Source organism: Homo sapiens, chromosome 3 (assembly GCF_000001405.40).
Source record: "Homo sapiens chromosome 3, GRCh38.p14 Primary Assembly".
NCBI lineage: Eukaryota > Metazoa > Chordata > Mammalia > Primates > Hominidae > Homo > Homo sapiens.
In genome coordinates, this window is record NC_000003.12 from 4,036,100 (window position 1) to 4,062,304 (window position 26,205).

General features: G+C 40.5%; 1 protein-coding gene and 1 long non-coding RNA gene across 3 annotated transcripts in view; one reads left to right on the forward strand and one right to left on the reverse strand.

Annotated features, from left to right (window-relative positions):
* Nucleotides 1-10,671, forward strand: part of LOC102723512 (uncharacterized) — a 40,652-nt gene extending 29,981 nt beyond the window's left edge. For both annotated transcript variants that reach the window (XR_007095788.1, XR_007095787.1), the window contains one exon: nt 5,706-10,671. This is a non-coding gene — a long non-coding RNA (uncharacterized LOC102723512). The remainder of the gene's footprint in view (nt 1-5,705) is intronic.
* SUMF1 (sulfatase modifying factor 1) overlaps nt 1-26,205 on the reverse strand; it is a 432,784-nt gene that overhangs the window by 1,614 nt on the left and 404,965 nt on the right. The gene's annotated exons all lie outside the window — the stretch shown is intronic.

Below are 26,205 nucleotides of genomic sequence, written 5' to 3' on the forward strand. Positions count from 1 at the left end.
AGCTCCCACTAGAATATGAGAAAACAAAACAAAACCAAGCAATGAATGTAAAACATTTATCCCAGTGCCTATCTTAGCACATAGTAATTGAGCTACTCAGTGATTATGAGGATGAGACAAAGGATCATGTGTATGAGAAAGTAGTCATTCACACATGGAGACCTCATGTTTAGAATGTAAACAAAGTACTTTTGTGTGAAATAGCTCATTTAGAGCTCCTATAAACTGTTATCTTATTTTGAGGCTCTGCCTGGGGCAAGAACTCTGCCCTTCCAGATGTTCAGGGAGAGACCACCTCCCTGGATCACATTTCTTATCAAATTAAGTACTGCTGAAAATTTTCTGTTGACTTTTGGAGGGCAGAGGCCAAAAAGAAAAAATGAAGGCTCTTTGGGGAAGACCTGCATGAGGGTTCTATAACTCTTCCCATAGGCCTGAGTGAAGGCTGCTGCAGGAGGAGTTTTCTCACTCCTCACTTCCATTTCCTTCTTGCTATGATCCTCAGAAATGAATCCATTAAAAAAAAAAAAACAGAGCTGGTCAACCAAGACCTGCTCAGTCCAGAGAAGCTACACAGAGCCCCACTGTGAGGAGAAACTAACATGATAATCTATTCTGGTGCTGAATGTTCTGTCTCTACCTCAACAAAGCAGAGGGGCTTTGCTTTAAATTTTTTTTCTAATTTTAAAACAAGACAGCAAATTAATTGTTAGTGTCCAGGCAAAGCAGATCTGCTGAGGTCAGTGAGGCAAAAAAAAAAAAAAAAAAAAAAAAGAGACCATGGTGAAATCACAAGGAGAATCATACAGAACTAGGTGGAGATACTGAGGGAACCAACACACTGTTCTGAACACTTTGGGGGCTTCAGAGTATGAAGATGACCAGGTTCCAAGATATACACACAGCTTAAAAGTTTCAAGGAGACACAAATCAGAAAGGTGTATCACCACAGGAGGAGAAACAAATAAATTCAAGTATTCCCAAACTAGACTACACCACAGAAATATTCTAAGACTAAGATCTAGTCAAATACATTGAGAGAAGAGTGATCTATTGGCATGAGTGACACAGAGTAAGGAAATAATATGGATAGACCACATTTATTTTCAATGAAGAAAGTAACATAGCAAAGATAAAATTGAAACTAAGTTTCTAAATAATTCCTTATCTGGTCCCTTCCTTCTCATTCTGACATCACCGCCTCCTTCCTTCAACTTCTATAGTAAGTTCTAAGTGGTCTCCTTATCCACCTCCACTTTTAACCCATTCTTTTCACATCTTCCATTTTAACATTCTTCCCAGAAAACATAAATGGCCAATACATCGGAATAAAATTTCACATATGCCAATATAACAAGAGATGAAGGAAAGTTAATGGTAGAGGGAGGAATAGTGTGTTTTTTAGTTCTATCAGATTCTTTTTTATACTGGCATTTTCATCTGTCAACTCCTGTATCATTTTTTTGCGATTCTTAGTTTCCTTTGATTGGATTTTGCTGTTCTCCCAAATCTTGATGATCTTCATTCCTATCTATATTCTCAATTCTATTTCTGTCATTTCAGACAACTCAGCTGGTTAAGAACCCTTGTTGGAGAACTGATGCAATCATTTAGAGGACATAGACACTTGGGTCATTTGGGTTGCCAGAGTTCTTATGTTGATTCTTTCTCATCTCTACATGTGTGTGTTCCTTTAACTGTGATATAGATTGAATATGGTCAGTAGACTTCTTTTCTGGATGTGTTCACAGGGCCAAGGCTTTGCGCAGGGTCTTTATTTGTAACTGACATCTTGCCTTTGGTTTCACAGTTGGCGGGTTATGTTATTGAGGTATTTTGGTATTGAAGCTTTGGAGTATGATCCAATAGGTGGCACTTAGATGTAGTGGTCAGTTAGCAGGTTCTTGCTCAGTTGCTGTGTTCTCGGTCAATGATCTGAAAGTGTGAGTTCCTCTCCCACTTAAGAGCTGGCTGTAGATCGTGGCTTGACATTCCTGGGCTGCCCACCACCGCTGCAGGGTGATCTTCAGGTTTATATTTCCTCACCAACTTGGAGGCAGCAGAGGAAGAGGCCTTATCAATAGATGTGGCTGATGGTCTTTCACTTGTCTCCTGGGGGCTCCACCCCAGAGATATGCAGGTCAGCAATCGCTCACTGCAATCAGCCCAGGATAAGGGGTCTGTGCTGTGGGCCCAAGGCAGGGGTTCCCTGCTTGGTGATGGGTGATGGGGTGGAGTCTGTGGGAGAAGGACTGGCCTCCTCCCCATAGGTCGACTGCAGCTTGTTAGAGGTGTGAATAAGACACTTACGGTCTTTGCTCCTTCATTAGACTGAGGGTAGCAGGGATAGTACCACTACAGAGGCAGTAGCAGAGTGGCTTTCAGTTGCTCCCGGGGGATCCGCCTCTGATAAATGTGGACTCCCAGCTGTTGCCCAGAGTGTTCAGCCATTGGGGTGGGGCAGCTGCACTGTTGGTGTGAGCTTGGGGCTCCACTTGCTGGGGAGCAAAGGGCGAAGGGCTCACTGGGAAGAGAGACTAGTCTACTCTCCATATGGTGATAGTGGCATGCTGTAAGCTCAGGTGTAGCCCTCAGGCTCTTTGTTTCTTCCCCAGACTGAGGGCAGCAGGAATAGAACCACTGCTGTGGCAGTGGAAGAGAGGCAGTCAGATGGCTCTGGGAGTCTCTCCCCAGGGAAACTCCAGACCACTACCACTGGGTATGCTCAGGATAGCTAAGTTTTACCAGGAAAATGCAAATCAAAAGAGTTCAGGGGTTGCGATATTAGTATCAGACAATGCTTAATTCAAGAAAAAAGCAATAAAGAGCATAAACAGATTAATTTACTAACTCACAATTAAGACAGCAACTTAACCATTTATAAACAAAATAGCATATCATAATATTTACATTTTGTTTGAAAAGAGAACTACCTAAATGCAACAGCAATGGCAAACATTAAAGCACTCCCCCCTTAATTTTTTATAGTTCAAGTAGAAAAAAATTACAGAGAATTGAAATACAGAAAATACATTTAATATATATCATAATCCATATCCTAAAAATGGATCTATAACTTCCTTCAAGCATGCCTGAAACATCTATGCAAATTTTTTTTTTTTTTTTTTTTTTTTTATTATACTCTAAGTTTTAGGGTACATGTGCACATTGTGCAGGTTAGTTACATATGTATACATGTGCCATGCTGGTGCGCTGCACCCACTAATGTGTCATCTAGCATTAGGTATATCTCCCAATGCTATCCCTCCCCCCTCCCCCGACCCCACCACAGTCCCCAGAGTGTGATATTCCCCTTCCTGTGTCCATGTGATCTCATTGTTCAATTCCCACCTATGAGTGAGAATATGCGGTGTTTGGTTTTTTGTTCTTGCGATAGTTTACTGAGAATGATGGTTTCCAATTTCATCCATGTCCCTACAAAGGATATGAACTCATCATTTTTTATGGCTGCATAGTATTCCATGGTGTATATGTGCCACATTTTCTTAATCCAGTCTATCATTGTTGGACATTTGGGTTGGTTCCAAGTCTTTGCTATTGTGATTAAAAGGTGAAGAAAGCTCAATATTCTAAAAACAATAGGTCCTAATGACTATAGTTAATTATAATGTTTTGTATGGTCAGGTATGGTGACTCATACCCATAATCTCAGCACTTTTGGAGGCTGAGGCAGGAGGATCACTTGATGCCAGGAGTTTGAGACCAGCCTGGGCAATACAGTGAGACCTAGTTTCTACAAAAAAAATTTTCAAATTCACTGGACACGGTGGCATATACCTATAATTTCAGCTACTTGGGAGCCTGAGATAGGAGGATCACTTGAGCCCAGGAGTTAAGGCTGCAATGAGCCATGATCACACCATAGCACTCCAACATGGGCAACAGAGACCTGTCTCAAGAAAAAAAATGTTTTGTATACTTGAAAATTTGCTAAAAGAGTAGATCTTAAGTATTTTTACCACACACACAAAAGAGAGATAACTATGTAAGGTGATAGATATGTTGATTAGCTTAATTTTGGTCACATTTCACAATCTGGAAATATATCAAAACATCATTTTGTACTCCTTAAATATATACAATTTTAATTTGTCAATTATACTTCAATAAAGCTTGGGAAAATAAATAAAACAACAGGTCAAATTATGTACCTCAGAATGGGGAAAAGTTCTTCCCTAGGCTCCTTATAACCTACTTTTCTAGGCCTATTGCTACTAACTCATTAATTTTACAACATACTATGGTCACTCTTCATAATTTATTCTTCCCCATGTCTCCCTACTATAGTGACCAGGAACCCAGCAGGCGTCTAATAACCCTTCCTCCAGCCCTGTTTAGCATTTTAATCAATGATTTAGATGAAGATATACGGGATATATTTATTGAACATGCAATTGAAACAATAGCAACTATATGAACAAAATCAACTTCCAAAATACTCGTAACAATCAAGCCAGTCTAAATAGAAGGAAGTTTAACAGACATATAAATACAAGATTGGGTATAAAACCTAAAGAAGTGAAGAATGTCTGAGATTTGATTTAGCAGCAGTATGTCACGTAAAACTAACAAATTGTAATCTGGTTTTAGTAGACAGTGAGCTTAATACAGTTCAACAGTGTGCAATGTTGATGCCGAAATGGGCTAATTGTGTATTACTAGATGCAGAGTAACTAGAACCAGAGAGGCAATCCATTCCAATTTCAGTTTGGGGTGTGAAACATTTTTATTGAACTCTTTATGGACTGAGTGGGCTAACTCAGAGGGCACTGAGTTCCCCATAACCAAAAGTGTTCAAGCAAAGCCAGAACTATGTTAGTAGACTCATTTATTCAGTTTTCAGGAGTAACCTCAGGTTGGGTGCCCTTGGGGTCTGAAGTTTATGGCAGTTCCCAAAGAGTGCCTTCCTCCTGGGATATTCAGATTCAATCAATGCAACCATTCTTTTTTGTTTTTGCTTTTGTTTTTTTGAGACAGAATCTCACTCTGTAGCCCAGGCTGGAATGCAGTGGTGCGATCTCAGCTCACCGCAACCTCCGCCTCCGGAGTTCAAGCAATTCTCCTGCCTCAGCCTCTGAGTAGCTGGGACTACAGGCACACACCACCATGCCCAGGTAATTTTTGTATTTTTACTAGAGATAGGCTTTCACCATGTTGGCCAGGCTGGTCTTGAACTCCTGACCTCAAGTGATCTGCCCTCCTCGGCCTCCCAAAGTGCTGAAATTACAGGCATGAGCCACAGCACCCAGTCAACCATTCTTTATGATGATATATCAGGTGACTTACTTTTTATTTCCCTTTCACGTTCACCTGACACAATAACTACTTTTGTAGACAATACCCTTCAGAGAGCTTCAGCACTGCAATCCTGCTCAGGTGGAAACTTAGTGAGTAAGAAGGAAGTGCCACATAAAAGCAGCAGATGGTAAAATTCCCCTAATACAGCAGGATCTGATTGTCCCAGATAGCTGGCATATCTACAGACCAGACACAAGTTGGGGGGAAGAAAACTTGCCCCCATTAGTAGCATTTTTATGCGTAGGTGACATTCTACAGGTAAGTTACAAGAGGGCAAAAATAAAAAATAACACATCTTGTAAGGCACAGGCATACACATGAGGTAACTCCAATTTGTTGCTGTGTGCTACCTGCATGAGCTATACCTCTTTTTGCCTTTTTCACAGAGAGAAACAGAAGTGGCTGGTTATGAAAACCGGCAGCACAGCTTTTTCCCTCCCTGTGGTGTCTTCCCAGATAAGAAAGCAGGCCTGAATCCCGGGTGCTGTTCTTCCAGACCACATGAAAGGTACTGTCTCAGGCTCCTCATCTGGAACTTTTATGCTTTACAAAGATGATAATAGTCCCTCAAAATCACCTACAATGCTGAATTAAATAGCATTCAAAGTATACTAGGAGAAAATTACAGTCAAGTTTGAGTCAACAGATCTCTTAACCTGGTAACTTTTAGGAAACCACTTAATTTCTGCAACTCAGTCATCTTCCCTATAAAATGGGAATAATAAAACCTATCTTGACTACTCTAAAGACTAGTATTGAGAAGCAAATGAGGTAAGAGACATGAGAAAGATTTAGAAATTATAAAATTCAACATAAATACAAATTAATGAGGTACATCTATTATGTCACCTGATCTTTATAACGTGACAATTGTCCAAATCAAAATGGAGTCACTAAAGTTTTTTTTTGTTTGCTTGTTTGCTTGTTTGTTTTTAAAAAAACCCTGATAAATAGAGCCACAGAAGTCCATGAAGAGAGGATTCTCATATTCGTATACCTGACAAGAAACACTATCACAATGACTGCAAAAAACACAACCTTGTACAAAGACCATTACAAACTTACACAAAAGAATACCTTTGCAAGGACATCTGCCCAGCAATTGCCTGTCCAATCTCAGACTGGTGTCACTCTTGTTATTTATCTTTGTAACCAAGGATAATTATTTCAAAACAATTATGTAATTCTCCTCATTTTTTCCTTTAAAAACCATTTCTTTCTTTTACCTCCCTGAGTACTCATATGGGCACAGCAGTCTCATTGCAGTGTATTCTCATGCACTATTCCCAAATAAATATTTTTTTCTTTTAGAAAGCCTCTCTCTGTTTGTTATTTAGGCTGACAATAACAACCCCAGGAAATGGGTAAGTTATTATCCCTATTTATTGATGGGTTGCGGGGGAGAAACAGAAAAGGATCAGGCTATTTGCTTAAAGTCCCTCAGCAAGTTGGCTCCCAAGGCAAGTCCAGTGCCCTTGCATCCCATCACCTCCTAGACCCTCCACCAGTGCTGCTTATTCTCTCTGCTGTTTTCCCAGAATCATTCACTGCCCTTCTCCACATCACAGGAGCTCCTGTCTCCTCTGACTTCAGGTTGGACTGGCTAATAGAAAGACCAAAAGGTGGCAGGAGAGCAGAGTTGAGCATTCGTTCCCTGGCTCTCCCCCTGCCTCAGCACTGTGGCTCTGACAATGACTGGATCCCTCTACAACTTCGACTCTTATCTAGAGCCTCCTTCCACAGTGGTAGGTCATGGCACCCCATGAACACTGGATCCCCATGCTCACCCCATGCTCTTCAGGCCTGGGCAGTACAACAGCTTCCTGCTATTGCTAAAACCTGGCACCTCGTCCTCTCTTCCTAGGTGCCTCAGCCCTGCCCACACATCTCTAAATTGTACCTTTAAATTGTATATCTTTAAATTGTACCTTTATTCAATTATCTGTAAAATTCCAGTTGAGCATGTCTTCTATTTCTGCTGAGAAAACTAAGAAACTCCTCCTTTTCAAACTATTTGTTCACAGGCTGCCAAAAACTTTTACCACCTGTCCCCAATTCCTCTCTCAGCCCTCTCCTCACTTTACCCAGACTCCTTTCACAGGAAGTCATAAGCCACCCCCCATTCCTCTCCAGGCGCGAATTTACCATGGCTCTGGACTTGCCCTTTACCAGTTCTCTATTAATTTAAAAGCTGATAAGTCCTCTCCCAAGCTCCTATTTCCCCATCCTCTCTTCTTCGTCTATCTCACACTTTATTTCTCCATAGGAAAGAATTTGAACTATCGATCTGTCTGCTGTATAATTTGGATTGAGAAACAGAGCATGAAAACACTCTTTGAATACCTTCAGGGAAACATACTCTATTCAAACTATGTTTCTTTCAACTCTAAATTTGTAAACTATTCTTTTTTTTAAGGTAGTTCTGCCTAAAAGAGTTAAAAAATTGACTACCCTATCAATTTTGCCCTCGAGGTTATACCAACTATTTCTATACTGGCAATAAAATCAACTCCATTTCTTCCAGGCTAGATCACAATTATTACTAGGCACATATTCCAAGGCTGCAATAATTCAGTGGCCCAATACTATTTCAAATTTATAGCAGAAAGAGGCACAATAGTCATTTTGGCCTCTAGGGTGCCTTCTCACTAAAGACCATGAGCTCAGAGGTTACACATAACCTATAATAATAGTTGTGTCTTCCTAGGGTGTGATTGAAGAAAAGAAAATAAATAAAAATGCCCTTGCCTTCTTATGTTAGAATGCGTAACCAAAAGCACCCAAGAGCTGACATTCAGTTCAGGATTTCTGAGACCCTTCCTCCTTTCCTTGCTGTGAAAAATAATGATCTGCTGTTCTCTGACTGTCATTCAAACAATGGGCCCAAGAAGCCAGCATCTCTCTCCTCACTGGCCTCTTGTTCTCTAAATGTACTGCCCATCACCACTTTCCAAACCACATTAGTCATGAAGTGCTGACAATAATTACTAACACATTGAAATGGTTGCCCAAAATGATGACTGTACAGGCCTACAGAATTGGTATTTTTACTGCAGTAAAAGGGTATGAGTATGAGGCTTCATAAGAAATTTTATGGCATTTTGGCTACTGATCACAGGTACAAATTATCCATGCTCAATTAAAGAAAGATGAAAGTTCAGCTTTCTATAATTAAACCAATAACTTGTTCAGCCTCAGGCTGGAAGTAAATGTTAAGGATTCGTGTCTTGCAATCCTGCATGAAGAATTAAAGAAGCAAACTCTATTATCACCGACTTACTTAAAATCAAGGCCTTATGCATATTGGAAATTATTCATGATGAGACTTTTAGATCAGGAAAAAATAAGTCATTCTCACACTCTTTTGGCTGCCTTGCAGGCAATAACTTTCTTCACTATTCTGTTTGGAATATTGCATCATTTAGATCATTCTTCTTAAGTCAATCCAGACATTTTCTTTAGATTCTGCTAAGAATATTATATGAAATTTAAGGACTGGAAAAAATACTTAAAGAGATATTTTAACATGATAAAAAAAAGTCCAACAACCAGCTCTGCAACTTCCTACCCTCTGCTTCTATTTCCTTACCTATAAAATGGGCTGTGATGATTAGTTTTATTTGTTCAGTTTAGCTAGGCTGCAATCCTTATTTATTCAACCAAACACTAATCTAGGTGTTTCTGCAAAGGTGTTTTGTAGATGTGATTACAGTCCACAGTCAGTTAATTATAAGTACAGGAGATTATCCTAGGTAATCTGGGTGGGTCTAGTTCAATCCATTGAAAGTCCTTAAGAGCAGAACTGAGGCTTCCCTGAGGAAGAAGTTCTGCCTGTGTCTTCAGATCATGCCAAGGAGTTCTAGCCTCCCCCTCCTAACAGCATGCCTTACAGATTTTGAAATTACCTAGCGGCCCCCAGTTGTGTAAACCAATTCCTTCCAATAATTCTATGTCCAACCATCCACCCATCCATCCATCCATCCATCCATCCATTCATCCATCCATCTTTCTGCTTGTTTCTCTTGTTATACCTTGACTGATACATGAGGATAATAATGCCTATTCTGCAGCAGTGCTATAAGAATAAAATGAGATTGTATATATAAAAATTATTTTAACACAAAATAAATGTAAGGATGTGTATGTAGAATTACTATTTGATTTGACTAACTCAAATCGAGCTAACAACTCCATATAATCACTGCTCTTTCCTAACAGGCCTTGTGATTTTGTTTTCCAGATTCTGCATATCTGTTACATTCTAAGGCCACTTCACAACACTACCAAACCCAGCTTTACAGTTTGGAAGACTGAGAGAATCATACCCAAAGCCACAAACATCCAAATATGGTGTTCTTCACAAGAAACTAATAATGAACTTGAGACAGAGTCTGCAGGGATAGGTATCAGAAGTCAAGTCTAAAGTATATGAGGTCTATGTTCAAACAGGAGCCTGGACATGACTGAGATAAAGAATGATTCCCGAGCTGGGCACACTGGCTTATGCCTATAATTCCAGTGACTCAGAAGGCTGAGGCAAGAGGATTGCTTGAGGCCAAGAGTCTGAGGCTCTATTGAGCTATGATTGCACCACTACTGTCCAACCTGGGGGACACAGCAAGAGCTTGTCTCTTAAAAAAGAAAAAAAAAGATTGAGTCCAGAGTTAGAGCTACAGGATAAAAATAAGTTAACTGAACTCAGGGGGAGAAAGGAGGGGAACCTACTCCAAATTCTAGCTCAGGTCTTACCTAAATGTGGGCTGGCTCAGCTCCCAAGTGGCTGAGTGAGGTCATGACTGAGAAGAAAGGACCCCTGGCCCAAGTCGTGAGTTGAATGACTCTTAGGTTGAGAAGCTTTCGTACCTAAGAATCAAGTGGCCAGTGGTGCACCATGGGAGAGATGATCACCAAACTTTTCTTCTCTTTGAGGTCACACACCTAGATTACCTGCCCCAGTCTCCCTTGCAGTTAGATCTGGCTGTGAGGTTGAGTTTTAGCCAGTGGGATAAAGATGGAAGTTTCCACTGGCCTAACCCATAAATTCCTCCACAACTCTTCCCACTTTTAATCTTATGCCCCCATGTCGTCTCTTCTCCCAGCCTTCTTCGTCTCAATAAATGTCACTAGCACATATCCAGTCATTCAAGGAAAAACACAATGGAGAAAACCATCCTCAACTACCCATTCCCTTTACCTCACTCTTTCCCAGCATCCTGCAAAATCTCGCTCCAAATATAGCTCCAGTTTGTCCACTTCCCTCCCTTTTCTCCAGTCTATAACCTTGGTTTACTCCATCACTATCTCTCAATTAGACTATTGAAATAAAATCCTACCTGGAATTTAAACTCTTAACTGTCTCTCTGTTTCTATTCTCATCCTCCAATAGCCTATTCTATATACCATGGCAGAAGGATCTTTCAAATCACTAATCCAGTTTTGTCACTTCACTGCTTGAAACTTTCCAGGAGGCTTCCCTTCCTTCGTAATTAAATAAAATTTGAACCCTGAATGTGGCCTAAACCCTACACATTTTGCCTCACCAACCTCTGTCACCGCATCGCTTACCACTAACACCCTAGCTCACTGGGATTTGTGCCACACCAAACTTCAAACACACCAAACGTATTTCTGCCTTATGAACTTTGAACTTGCTACTCCTTTTCACTCCCGGAACACTCCTGCCCCAGATCTTTGCTGGTGCCTTTACATCTTTCAAGTCTCAGTTTAAATATCACCTCTTCCAAGAGACATCCTTTGACTACCATATATCAAATATCCCCTAAGCTCATTATTCTTTGCCATTGTACTCTGTTTTACTTTTGGAATTATTTGTTTTCTTGCATGTTGTCAATCTCCCTCACTGAATCTTTAGCTTCATAAGAGCAGGGACCTTACCTAACTTCTTTATTTCACTGCTATATCCCCAACAGTATAATCTTGGTCATCTCATTCCCCTTTCTAACCCTTATTTTCTCCATTTTCAAGATGATGACTTGGGATTCGGTGCTTACAGGAGACTGGCTCTTCACATTCTTTGCATCCACAGTTCCAAGGAGGCTTTAGAGCTCAATACTTTCCAGCCAGTGACATTTCTAAATGCATTTTCCAAATGAAGTCAATGCCCTCAGGCAGCCCAGTGGGGAGGTCATGGAGAGCCAGTGAGAAGGAAGTCTGGTGAGTTGGATTACATAGTTCCTTTGCTACACCATTCCAGCCATACTAAGGAGATGCACCTCATTAGGTACTAAATGTTTAGTGACTGTCACTATTAATTGGTGGGGATTAATACTCAAAGGAGACAGTAAATCTCATGCTGTACTCAATGACATCACCCCCTTGCAGTCAGACAATGCACTGGGAGTTTGAATCTAAAGCACTACAAAAAAAGAACCCAGAGACTATCCCTTCTCTGCTTATAAGAGTAAATATTGGTTGCCAATTATATGGAGCATCTCCTCAGTTACCAGGATCTGTATTAAATATCTTACATGCTTTTATCATTTCATCTTTACCTCGATCCTATGGCATAGTTCCAATATTATCCTCATTTTATGGATGGGGAAACTTCCAAATAGAGAGAAGAGGCACCTTCCCCAAGGTCACAGAGCTAATAATGATGGATCCTTTGATTAGGGTCTGTTTCATTCAGAAGCCTATGATCTTAGCTACTAAGTAATATTCCATTTCCTATAATTATCATCTCACCATATGATTACAATTATTTTTATTCAAACCTTTTCCATTCTTCAAGTCTGGGCTCAAATGCTACTTTTTTTCACAAAACTTTCTCTAACCCCCAGAAAGACCCATACTCGCCATCAGCATCCTCTGCATTGGTCATATAGAATCAATCACATAGGGGAAGGAGACTCAGTAACAAACATTTAATAGCATATACGGTATGCAGGCACTGCCACAGTCAAAAGCTTATGTTAGTCTTACAACTACCCTGAGAAAAATACATTCATATCTGTTTTGAAAAGTAAAATGCCTTGAGCAGAGTCTTATGGCTCAAAGTGGCAGAACCAGAATTTAAACCCAGGTCTGCTTGATTGCAGAGCCCAAGGCATTTCCACAAACTAACTATGAGCTCTTCATTATGCCCTTGGACTAAATAATTCCCCCTGTTATAAGTCCTCATAGCACCATGTGCTTCTTTATAGCCCCCACCCCAGTTATAATTTCATCTATGTTTGTGTGATTAATTTTAATTTCCTTTTTTAGGCCCTAACTCCATGTACAAATGACCATATCTCTTTTTGCTCTACAAAATCCCCAACACTTGACAAATACAGTAGTCATGGACCTTATACAAGTATATTTGAATAAATGCACAAACCATGTACATTTCATTGCATACATTTAATACATAAATAGAGCCCTTCCCTGCTAGATTCTAATTTCTCTGAGGCAGGTTACCAACCTAATTTATTTCTGGATCCCTCATGATGTTCTGCACTTCATAGGAACTCAATAAACATTTACTGGATAAATTTTGCTTATCAGTCTGTCTGTACCATTTGAAACTCTGTAACATCCAAGGCTTCTAAGTAGGCCTTGGATTTAATTATAGAATAAGATGACCACAGAAGAGTTTTCTAACCTAACAGATATAGATTTGAAAGCCATGGGGAGCATGAAACCCATGTCACAAAAGTGTATCAGTCAAAATAAGTTAAGCTATGCTGCTATGATAAACACAGCAGCTTAAAGAAAAGGTTTGTTTCTCACTTGCACTACACAGACATTGCAGGCTGTCTGAGGTCATTGTTCTACATCATCCTAACTCCAGGACCTAAGCTAACAGAGCATTTCCAGTTGCCATGGCAGAAGGAAAATGGGGCAAAGGCAAATAATTCAATAGCTCTCACAGCTTTTACTGGAGGTAATGCTGTATCACTTCTTCTCGTATTTCACTGTCTATGTCTACCTTCAAGAAAGTGATGAAATGCCCTCTTACTCCACAGCAGGGAGCTCATGCCAAAATATTTGCTGGATGGCACTAATGACCACCACCACAACAGACTGCGTAGGAGAAAACACTGAGAAATTGAAATGGGAGAATTCCCTGACACCCCTTGCTGAACGTGAGACAGGGATGTGACTCATCTGTTCAGTAACCACTGCTCCTCAAACCCCTTATGTGAGGGGAGCATGCAGACAGGTAGGTTCAGGAGCCAGAGTAAGCACCCCTGGGCTCCAGCCCCAGGGCAGCATTCAGGGTTGAGAGCCTGCAACTCCCAAAGCCCAAATGGGCTGTGTTACAGTGTACTCTTTCAGCCTTGCCATTCGCGGGCAGCTTATCTGTTAACCAGCTCAGTGAATTCTCTGCCTTTTCACAATGGCAGAGGGCCAGTGTGACAGCTTTCTGTACCCAAGCTCTCGTCCAACATCCCAGAAGAGTCAGGTCACATACAGACTTGAAGGATGAATGTGGGGGTATTATTGAGTGGTGGAAATTGCTCTCAATGAGACGAATGGGGAGCTGGAAGGGGGATGGAGTGGGAAGATGTTCTTCCCCTGGAGTTTGGCCATCCAGTAGCCAATCTCCTCTCTGACCATCCCCAGCCAAACTTCTCTCAGCATTCGGATGGCCCTTCTCTTCTCTCTCCCACGCCATTCTGCCACTTGTCTACTCTTCTCCTTGTCTGCTTCTGGAGCCTGCAGTCTGGGGTTTACATGGGTACAGGATAGGGGCTGTGGTGAGCCAAAAGGCAGCTTTTGGGCATGAAAACAGGAATGCCTGTCTCCATTTAGGGGCATGAGTATCCTGGCTTGATAGTGGGGCACTTGCCAGGGAACCACCCTTTTCTACCCAGTATTTCCCTATCTCCTGTCCGTTCTAAATGATCCATTTAGAACCTGACCTACTTTCCGAAAAAAAAAATACATCTCCAAGGCAATCTATTGTTATAAAATCACTGAAATTGCTAGAGTCTTTCCCTAGACTTTTGAGCAGTTGCTTTCTGGGTCTCAATGTCCTTATCTGTAAAATGGGAATAAAAATAGAATTTCAGAGGGGCTTTGAAAATTGTCATGATGGCCAGGTGTAGTGGCTCATGCCTGTAATCCCAGCATTTTGGGAGGCTGAGGTGGGTGGATTGTTTGAGTCCAGGAGTTCAAGACCAGCCTGGGCAACATAGCAAGACCCCGTCTCCACTAAAAATACAAAAAATTCGTCAGGTGTGTTGGCACACACCTGTACTGCCAGCTACTCAGGAGGCTGAGGTGGGAGAATCACCTGAGCCTGGGAGGTGGAGGCTGCAGTGAGCCGAGATCATGCCACTGCACTCCACTTCAGCCTGGGCAACCAGAGTGAGACCCTGTCTCAAAAAAAAAAAAAAAAAAGAAAGAAAAAAGAAAAGAAAAAGAAAAAGAAAAAGAAAAATGTAATGATGTACATGAAAGCACCCATCATAGGGCCTGGCACAAACAGTTGATCACTAAATATTAGCCTTCTAAGAAACATAATCTTCAAATCCAAGTATGGGCTTTAGAAATGTAAGAAAATTTAATTCCTCCAAATATATTAATAAGTGAGAGAAAACTACGCACTCACCCTCTAAACTTGACGTTTTATTTTGCTGATATTGTTGATTGTCTACCCGCTAAAATGACTTGCTGCGCACAACTACCCACATATCCCTGCAATGCGAGTACTCAAGTAATTTGAACAGGGCTAAATATACTACATTCTAAGGCAAAAAAAAGAAAAAAAAAAAGGGTGGGGAAAGGAAAGCAGTGGAAGAAAGCTCCTAAAACAACTGGAAACTACCTGTTCCTCCCAGGCAGAACCAACCACCCCATCCAATAGGCTATACAAGTTACCACAGTTTTTCTACCCTTCTGCTTTATTTCCTATCTCCACATCCCTCCTGAGCATAGGGCCTGGTGCAGGATCACAGTGTTGTACATTCCTACGTTCTTTTCTTTGTAACTAAGTCACAGGACAAAGAGCCCCAAGAAAGTGGTTTTGTCCAGTGATGCACAGCCTTCCTGCTCCTCTACTGTCCACACTCGCTCAAGTGTGCGATCCAAGGAGCTGTAAAGGAAAAAAATCCCCAAATTAAATATTATTGTATTCCCACTCCTACTTATGCCTCCATACAGATGTTCTACAGGCAAGGGGAGAAGCACATGTTAAAGTTGTAACGTTTCTAAATAGACGTACCATGTAAATGCCTAAGAGAGAGAAGGCTCCCACTTTTTTCCTCCCTCCTACCATCTTTGACAGTCCTCAAGGACAAGTCTCAATTCCAGGACACTAGCCATGCCTGTTAGCAGAGGGGCTATTAGGCAATAAAATATCACCACTTACATGTTCACTTCTGTCTTCTCTCCTTTTCATGCCACTGGATCATAAGAATGTAGACTGGTTTGCACATCGGAAAAGACCTGGCTGTCTGATCAGTTTGCTTTTCTTCCTTCTTTTCTACCCCTGCAGCCTAAGTGGTAAACCGGTCTGAGTAAGGTCAGTACTGCACTTTAGATTATGAGTGACGTAAACCAAGAAAGTATCAACTAACAACCATAGGGCACTTTGATTCTCAAAATGGTTTTGGTTCTCTGTCTTACTCTATCTTCATAGCAACCTGTACTTGTTTCCTAAGGCTGCCATATCACCATGCCAAAGCTGGTTGGCTTAAAACAACAGAAATTTATTGTCTCATAGCTCTGGAGGCTAACAAGTCCAAGATCAAGGCACCAGAAAATCTGGTATCTGGTAAGAGCCTGTTTCCCTGTTTCCAAGGTCACAGATGGCACCTTCTCAATGTGTCTCCACATGATGGACGGGGCAAGGCAGCTCTCTTTGGTCTCTTTTACAAGAGCACTAATCCCATTCATAAGGGCTCCACTGCCATGATGTAATCACCTTCCAAAGGCCTTCCAGTATCATCACATTAGGGGTTAGGAACTTAACATATAAATTTGGCAAGGACACAAATATTCAAGCACAGCAAAAAGTTTATATGTATTTATCTGCCCCTTCCTAGAACTGACCAAAGACTAGAGCTTGGGGCTAGCCCACTGCTCTGGACATACATGCTTTCCCCTCCCATCTCATGCCTCCCAGAGAAACTGCAGCTCCTGCATGCTTCAAGTGGAACTACTCTAACAACAAACAGCTACTGGAGAAGCAATGTTGCCCTCTCAAATGCAATATTCCCGGACTATGTGCTAATAAGTTACGTTTAAGAAAACTACTACTTACCCATCCACTATTTTCTTTGCATTTTTTGTCTACTGTTTTTGTCCACATAATCTTCTTCTCGTGATACCCTCAAGAGATAGGCAGAACAATTATTACAGGTATACCTTGGACATATTGTGGGTTTGGTCCTAGACCACAATAAAGTGAGTCATACAAATTTTTTGGTTTTCCAGAGTTAGGTACTTGCTCTAGATTAGGCTTTGGCTTAAAGAAATGTTGTATGTGGTTTAATGTTCCATCCAGACCACTCAAACATTCCCCATATCAGCAGTAAGACTGTTTGCTCTCTTACCACTCATGTATTCACTAGAGCGGCACTTTTAATGTCCTTCAAGACTTTTTCCTTTGCATTCACAACTTGGCTAACTGCTTGGCAAAAGAGCTCTAGCTTTTGGTCCATCTCAGCTTTTACATACCTTCCTCACTAAGCTTAATCATTTCTAGCTTTTGATTTAAAGTGAGACACACATGATTCTTCCTTTCACTTGAACAGTTAGAGGGCATTGCAGGGCTATTAATGGGCCTAATTTCAATATTGTTGTGTCTCAGGGAATAGGGAGGATCAAGGAGGGGTGGAGAGATGGAGGAACAGCCTGTCAGTGGAGAAGCCAGAACACACACAAGATTTATCGATTAAGTTTGCCGTCTTTTATGGACATGGTTCGTGGCACCCCAAAACAATTACAATAGTAACATCAAAGATCAATGATCACAGATCACTGTAACAGATATAATAATAATGAAAAAGTCTTAAATATTGTGAAAATTTTTCACATTTGAAACAGACACAAAGTGAGCACATGCTGTTGGATAAATGGCACCAATAGCCTTGCTTTACGCAAGGTTGCCACAAACCTTCAGTTTGTAAAAAATGCAAATCTGTGAAAAACAATAAAGCACAATTTTTAAAAATAAGAATCAAAAAAGCTATGAGGAATTCACAAATATGCAACACAATTTAGAAGGTGGTCCAGAATCCCAGAATCTTTTCTCCCCCTAAAGAACCTCCACTGCCCTCCGAACTGTGACATGGCCTTTGAAATCAGGGAGAATAGGGTCATAAGGTTTTTGAAGTGGAAGGAAATTAATCTTATTAAGTAGTACAGAAGGGAGAGTAGAGAACAAACAATTCCCAAGACACATAATAAAACATTGAACAACCGTCACTACCTCGAGGTGATCAGTGTTGGTGAATATTTTCACCTTTCCAAGCAAGAGAAATGTGAAATATGGATAAACTTAGAAAATGAAAAACATAACACCTATGAAGTCCTTCCAATAAAAAGTAAAGTTTTATCATAATTACTGGCTCTGAAGTAATTTGGAAGCCCTACAATGACCTATTCTGTGGGTTAAAAACTGCCATCCATCACAAAACTCGTCTCTACCAAATCAATTTCTAAAACAATCAATAGTAACATACTCAAAAAAGAATGTCTGAGAAATAATAAGAGCCAATGAAACTAATCACGTCAGAGAAAACTCAAGCATGACCTTTTGAGCAATACCATTTGTTGAGCTGACACTCTGCAAGATAAATAACTTTTAAATAAATGAACACAGGCCAATAGTGAGAAAAAGAACTGTATATGAGCACAATTTCAACACAAAGCTCTAGTATGGCTTTCAAAGCAATCATGCCTTCACCAGAAACAAAACAGCTTCAATTTAAAGGATTTATCACAGGAATGATAAAATCTTTTGAAATGTCAGCACTAGGTCTAGAAATTATCAAAGGAAAAGAAAATTAAAAATAAAAATGAAAACCTTGCTGACAACAGCAAAAAAGCTATGACAATCCACCACCTTGTCAAATTATCTTTCTTTTATTGGCTCTCTGGCATCAGTCTCCCATCCTCTGAAACTCATGCAAATGCTGTAGCAAACAGTTAAATATTTTATTCAGGTGTATGTTTATGTGCCTGTTTTAAAAGATATCTTTACCCACTACCCTCCATTTATCTGTCACAGTCTTTTACCATCAAGAGCATGCCTGTTCTCAGTACTATGTAATATTTATGAGATACTCACAGTGTGCTCAATGCAGATATCAACTGAAGGTCTGCCATCTCACTCAACCTTCTTGACCCAGAATCCCAGAGAAACTGATAAATAAACAACTACAGTAACAATATCAACAACAACATCTTTTAACAGATATTGAGCTGTTAATTTGCACCAGCACTGTGCTAAGGGCTCCACGTATAGTCTTATTTCATATGCACAACAGATGTGCAATATAGGTGTTCTAAGTATCCCCATGTTACAATGAAGAAAATTGAGACTGAGAAATGTTAGGGAACATCCCCAAGGCCACACAACCAATGTACGCCCAGGGTCTTTCCTGACTCAGGGGTCTCCCTGACTCAGATGCCTTACAAACAGCACTTAACCAACAGGCTGGATGACTTCGCTAGTTCACGTCTTCTCACTGCGTGTTGTTGAAACAGATACTGTAGTGGAGTGCGTTTTCTTCATGCAGTGTGTTGTTGACACTCATCTGAATTAATGCATACAGTGAAAAGGCGTTAAGAATAGTTGAAAAGTACTATGGTACAAATGATGATATGGCATAAATACAATGAAACGGAAAAATGTGAAAAGGAAAAAAGCAGATTGTAAAACAATACAGACAAAAGTACAAAATAATGTTAGCTAGCCTTTATTAAGTGTTTACTATATCTCAGATATTTTCCAAGTTATTATCCTGTATTAATATATTGACTCTTTATAATAGCTCTATTTATTTACATATACCAGGTATATTAGTTTTCTAGGGCTGTGGTAACAATTCCCACAACCTTAGCAGCTTAAACCACACAAATTTAGTATCTGTTAAATTTTTATTTTATTTTATTATTAATTTTTTAGAGACAGAGTCTCGCTCTGTCACTCCAGTTGGAGTACAATAGAGTGATCATAGCTCACTGTAATCTTGAACTCCTGAACTCAAGTGATCCTCTGGTCTCAGCCTCCTGAGTAACTGGGACTACAGATGCACACCACCATGCCCCACTCATTTTTACATTTTTTGTAGAGATGGGGTCTTGCTATGTTGCCCAGTCTAGCCTCAAGTGATCCTCCTGTCTTGGCCTCCCAAAGTGCAAGGATTACAAGTGTAAGCCATCACACTTGGCCTAAAAATTTGTATCTTACACTTAGTTCTATAGTTCAGAATTCTGAAATGGAGTTCACTGGGCTATAATCAAGGTGTTGGCAAGGCCATATTCCTTCCCAGAGGCTCTAAGGAACAATCTGTTTCTTTGGCCTTTCCAGCTTCTAGCCACATTCCTTGGCTCTTGACCATCTTCCTCTATCTTCAAAGCCAGCAATAACAGGCCAAGACTTCCTGATGCTGCCATCTCTCTGATTCTGTCTTCCAATTCCCTGTTCCACTTTTAAAGACCCTTGTGATTACATTGGGCCCACCCAGATAATCCAGGATACTCTCCCTATTTTATGGTCAGCTGATTAGCAACTTTAATTCTATCTGCAACCTTAATTCTCCTTTACCGTGTAACCTAACATATTCACAGGTTTCTGGGATTGGGATGTAGACATCTTTAGGGACCATTATTCTGCCTAGCAGAGTTGTCTTCTGATCCCAAAAGATTCACACATGTCCCAAGCCATTACACCAGGTAATTCTCATTGAATTTTCTCTATTAGAGCTCCTGCTATCAAAATACAGAAACTAAAAAGGTTCATACAGTATGAAATAAATCCCAAAATTAAATAATAAAATATTAACAATATTTATTGGTCAGACATGGTGGTTCATGCCTGTAACCTCAGTGCTTTGGGAGGTCTACACAGGAGGATCACTTGAGCCCAGGAGTTCAAGGCCAGCCTGGGCCGCATAGTGAGACTTCATCTCTACAAAAACTTAAAAAATAGCCAGATGTGGTAGCATGCTAATTGGGAAGCTGAGGTGGGAGGATCGCTTGAGCCTAAACTGTTTGAAGTTACAGTGAGCTAAAATCATACCACTGCACTCCAGTGTGGGTGACAGAGTGAGACGTCTCTAAAAAAAAGCAAAAACAATGTTTAGCTCTGGGTAATAGAATTATGTGTGGTTTTTGTTTCTTTCTTACTATGTGATCCATAATTTTTTTTATTTATTTTTTTTGAGATGGGGTCTTGCTCTACTGCCCAGGCTAGAGTGCAGTGGTGCAATCTCGGCTCACTGCAAGCTCTACCTCCCAGGTTCACGCCATTCTCCTGCCTCAGTCTCCTGAGTAGCTGGGACTACAGGTGCCTGCCACCACGCCCGGCTAATTTTTTGTATTTTAAGTTAAGCAGAGACGGGGTTTCACCATGTTAGCCAGGATGGTCTCGATCTCCTGACCTCGTGATCCACCCACCTCAGCCTCCCAAAGTGCTGGGATCACAGGCGTGAGCCACCGCGCCCGGCCGTGATCCATAATTTTTACAACAAGCATGAATAACTTCTGCAATCAGAAAAAGTTATTTTAAAAAATAAAATGTGTTGAAATGAGTGCCAATAAAAGAATGTGCAGGATGACAGAGGGGCAACAAGGGTAGCACCACCAGCTGCACTCAGATGGGAAGGGAATTAAAAGCTGTCACTGAGAGGGAGTATGCCAGATGGAGAAATGAGCAAGGAGTCTGATGGGCCAATCCAAACCAAAGAATAAAGTCAAGGGCTGGAGGCCAGTTGCTCTTGTCTCCTCCTCACCATCACTCACTGCATAAGGCGTGAGTTGGGGATGGGCAGTTTGCTCATGATAAGGGACTCAGGTTTGGCAAAAAACCGCAAAAGGAATCTAAGAAAAAGGAAGGACATGGGTAAATCGAAAACCAAACTCATAGACTTGTGTTGAATAAAAGAAAGAACATAGAGAAACAAGTTCAAGTCCCACCTTCACAATTTACAACTGTGCCAACCTGGGTCAGCCTAGCTGCCTATCTGGTCTTTGGTTTCCATAACTTTAAAATAGAAAGGAGAATAATGCCCTGTGCCTCCCAGAGTTGTTATGAATATTAAATTACATGGTATACTTAGCAAACTATAAAGAATCATGACGGGGAAGGAAGGAGGAACCTGTGGTCCATAAAGCAGCAGCTAAAATGTCTCAGCCAAATAAAGGTGGAAAGTTGCAGGTAGGTGCAAGGTAGGCTGGCATTTGAGTAGTTTATGGGGATAGATTATTTTTAACAACATAAACACAGAGGTTCCAAGAAGTTAACTTGTCTCAAGTTAACAAAAATAAATGGTAGAGTTGGAACCCTATGGCTTCAAAGTCTGCTTTTTTCTCTGTCTCTAATATATGCCTTGTGAAACAAGAGATTCAAGGTGTTGAGAAAGTGGCAGAGCAGGGATTAGAGTCTAGATCTACCAACAAGTATAAGTGAGTGTTCTCTCTATGCTGGACACTGTTGTAAGTACTTTGTATATAGTAACTTATTAAATCATCCCAGTATCCATGGAAGGAAATTGTCCCCATTTTTATAGATGAGAAAACTGATGCATTGAAAGATTCAATAAAACCCAAGATCACACAGATAGTAGATGAGCAAATCAAGATTTGAATCCAGGCAATATAGCACCACAATCTGTATTCACAATCACAAAGCCATGTTGCTCGCGAGCAGGTATATACACATATATTCTGCCCGACTGCTCTGCAACTCCTTAAGCATTGTCTGCAAGCCCCCACATCCATTCTACAGGGTCATGTACATAACAAATGCTCTTGAAAGATTTCTTAAGTTCAGAAATGGCCTTCGAATGCAGTAATATTCAGGGACATGATAAGGAATGAGGAGGAAAAAGCAGACATTCTGGGTGATGTACTAGATATGGAATACCAAAGGGACAACATAAGGAAGGTGCCTAGATTAAGGGACCAGGGACTGGCTGGATCCACACAGAAGGGGGCAGGAACTCTGTTGAAAGATGGCTGGGAGAGTAAGAGGAAAATGAAGTAAAAGGAAAAGAGGAGGATAGGGAAATCATTTAGTAATCATATAGGAGATGAGTTCCTCAAGATAATATGTTGACATAGTATCTTTAAGCAAAAGAAAATACAAAACTGAAGAAAAAATCACTGCTAGAAATAAAGTAGAACAGGCTTGGTTCCTCAAAAGACATTCTGGGAGAAGAAAAGTTTTCAATGAATATGCAAAAACATACAAACAATAAAACACTCCATAATTCTAACCATTAACCCAATGCCCCATTTCCAAACAGTCAGGCTTAGTTAATAGCTTTTATAGTGCATTTAATTTTCAATTTGTGAGATGTCAATCTGGGAGGCTTTGTTGGAAACCAATGAGGTGAGATTACTCTAGCAATTACCCCCAAATAATGGGTGACTGCATTCAACAAAGCTGTAAATAAAAAATGCCTTTCTTTTCATTAGAGAGAATGAACAGCAGAGAAAAGAGGGCATTTGGGACAACATACTGGAAAAGGTGATCACTCTAAATATATAGTGAGCTTTCATGGGACAGATTTCTAGAATCCTATAGAAAAATCCCACCAATATACTTGTGTTTAAAAAAATAAAAAGGCGGCACTATTTAGCTTACTAAATTCAGCATAAGGCTCATAGATGGACAGATACTATCTGTCCCACTACTACTCAATGCAAGGTCTACAGTCAGATGAGCATCTAACACAATTTGGTTTGCAGAGTTTTCAAGAAAGCAGTGTATTTTATCTGTACAGCTGCCCATTTCAACTGTCCCTTCTATGCTCATAGGAGGAGGAAAAGAAGGCCCTTGGAAATTGCCATTCTGGAATTGAAAACTTAAATCCTCCAGACAACCATTAACTTTTAAAGGACATCTAAAAGTGCAGCTCTGTGATAACCAAGAAGATGATGGTGATAGTTCTGCCTATGACTGAATACACAAATCTCTTAAACCTCTACAGCTGCTCAACAAAACAAAGAAATAAACATTGCATTTTGCAGAGAATCCATTCTATCATGTTATTCAACAAATTTGTATTCATCTGTGACTATGTTACTGTTACTGAGTATACGCAGTCACAATGGTGAGCAAAAACGAAAACAATTTCTGCCTTCATGGAGTTCACAGTATAGAGGGAAGAGAGGCATTAACGCATAATCACAAATCACACAAATGTACAACAAAAACTGTGATCCATGTTAGGAATTTAAAAGGTGTCCCTGTGGAAAAAAAAAAAAAAAACCTTGAGCTGAGATCTGAAAAGTAAATCAGAGGTGACCAGGGCAAGACAAGGGGTGATGTGCTGGATAAGGAGAATAAAAATATTCCTGGAACAGGGGACTGTATATGCAAAGGTCCTGTAGCAAGAGGGACCACACAATACAGTTAAGGAACTGAAAGAAGGTGCAGGAAGCCTGAGGGGCTACGGATGAGCTGAGATGGGAGAGACAGGCATGGTCAAACCATGCCAAGTGGAGGATTTAGGTTATTATAAATGCAGAAGAAAGACATTTGAAGCAGAGGCTGATAAAGAAGTTATGATATGAATCAGATTTACGTTTTGAAAAATCGCTCTAGCTGCCCAGTGGTAAATAAATTGGTGGAGGCAAGCAATATGTCAGAACTAAAGTGATAGAGATTAGCGATTTCTGAACTTACATGACATCATATACAAAGTATTTGGGCAGAGCAATGAATAGCAGCCTCTTAATCCATGTCTGGCCTGCCAGGGCACAGACTGGTTAAAAACACAGACTGCTGAACTAGGATTCCTGGTTTGGAATCCCAGGAATGCCACTGTGTGCCCTTGTACAATTTATATAATCTCTCTGCCTCGGTTTTCTCACTGTAAAACGAGAATGATAATATAGGTTACAAAATCTTCATGACCAAATGTATTTTGAAATTCAGAATTTTTTGGACTTTTGAAAGGCATGAGATTACACTAAATATTCTGTAACACCCCCAGCAGAGTCTTGGGTAGGACCCCATATTCAAACACATTAACATTCAAACACATTTTGAAGCAAGATGTATGATTATTAACACTATGTGGAATAAAGACCAATAAGTAGACTTATGTCAATCCAGATCAAGTTTTGCCATCAAATGAGTTTGCACCAACTTTCAAGAAAATTCTGTTTTTTCAGAATCTTTTGAAATTCAGAACTGCAAATGAGGGACTACGCATATGTAGTACCTTCCTCCTAGGGTTATGATGAGGAATAAATGAATCATTGTAAACCCTTGGGAAAGTGTTTGGCACATAGTAAATAGCATTTGTTAAGTAAATAAAGCTCTTAGGTACCAAACTAGCTAGCTGCATGAACTTAGGAGTTCCTACTCTGTAAATGGAAGGATGATAAGATGACCTCTGAGGTCCTTCCAGCTTTCAAGTTCCATAAGACCCCAAAGTGTCTTGAGGAATGTCTGTTTCCAATACTTTGTGGAAAAGCCAGTAGAGGACCCTGAGTCTATTCCTAATCAGTGTTAAAAGAAAAACTTCAGACAAATTAACTTTACCAGAGTTTAATTGAGCAAAGAATAATTTGAGAATTGGGCAGCCCCCTGATCCAGAATAGCTTCAGAGCAATGATGACACCAGACCAATTGTCCCATAGCACTGATGTTTATGGTTTCTTTTGAATAAACATAGAAATGGATCCTCCCAATCTTAAAAGTGGAGAAAGTTAGAATTGTCTTATTTGAGTTTCTTTCTCAGAAAACCAACCATCAGGACTCCCAGATAGTATTGAGGAACTAAAACTTACCAGACACCACATCTGGACAATGAAACACCAGATCTCTCACCCATCATGATTGCCTAACTGACTCCCTGCTTCCTGCTGACCAATTCCTCTTCCTTACCCCTCATTAACTTATGTTTTTCTGCATGTAGTTACATTTCTTCCCTGCTATATAAACCCCTGATTTTGGTTGGTCAGAGTGATGAATTTGAGACTGATCTCCCATCTCCTCAGCTGCAGCACCTCATTAAAGCCTTCTTCTCTGGCAGTACTCATTGTCTCAGTGATTGGCTTTCTATGCAGGGAGCAGCAAGAACTAGACCAAACTGCTGGCATTTTGGTAATAATGGGGTGGTGGGGGACACATAAGGGAGGTACAGAAACAGTTGGACTGGGTACAGCTTGGCATTTGTCTTATTAGAACATGGGTTGAACAGTTGACAGCCTGTGACAGGCTAAAACTCTATGATTGGTACAAGAGTAGGTTACAGTCTGTTTACACATCTAGTTAGGTTACAGTGCAGTGTGTAAGGAGAAACCTTTAGGCCAAACTTAAAGTATGTAAGGAGGCCGCTTTAGGCTACACTTAAATTAACAACGGGTAATGATGATGCTATAGCCATTTGATACCTGGTCCTCCCACCTCTTCTGTCCCACTGGACAGTTCATTTACACTCAGACTCGTTTCTGTATTTACCTCTCCTCTAATACCGTCTCACCCTCTCTCTCCTACACCTCAGCCTGAACAGCACCCCCTTCCTCATAGCACCCTTACCACAGATTCAGTCATGCCCTAAGCTCCTAATCACTGATACAAATCACCAGACTCCCAGAAAAAACAAACTCCTGAGCCAACCCTTGCCTGGGAAATGGAAGCTGACAGCTATTCTCACTGTGCTTGCTTTCAAATGTATTGGGAGCATGGTCAAACTGGGCATCAAAGAGTCTAGCCATATGACTTTGGGAGAGTCAGAAACTTAACTGCTC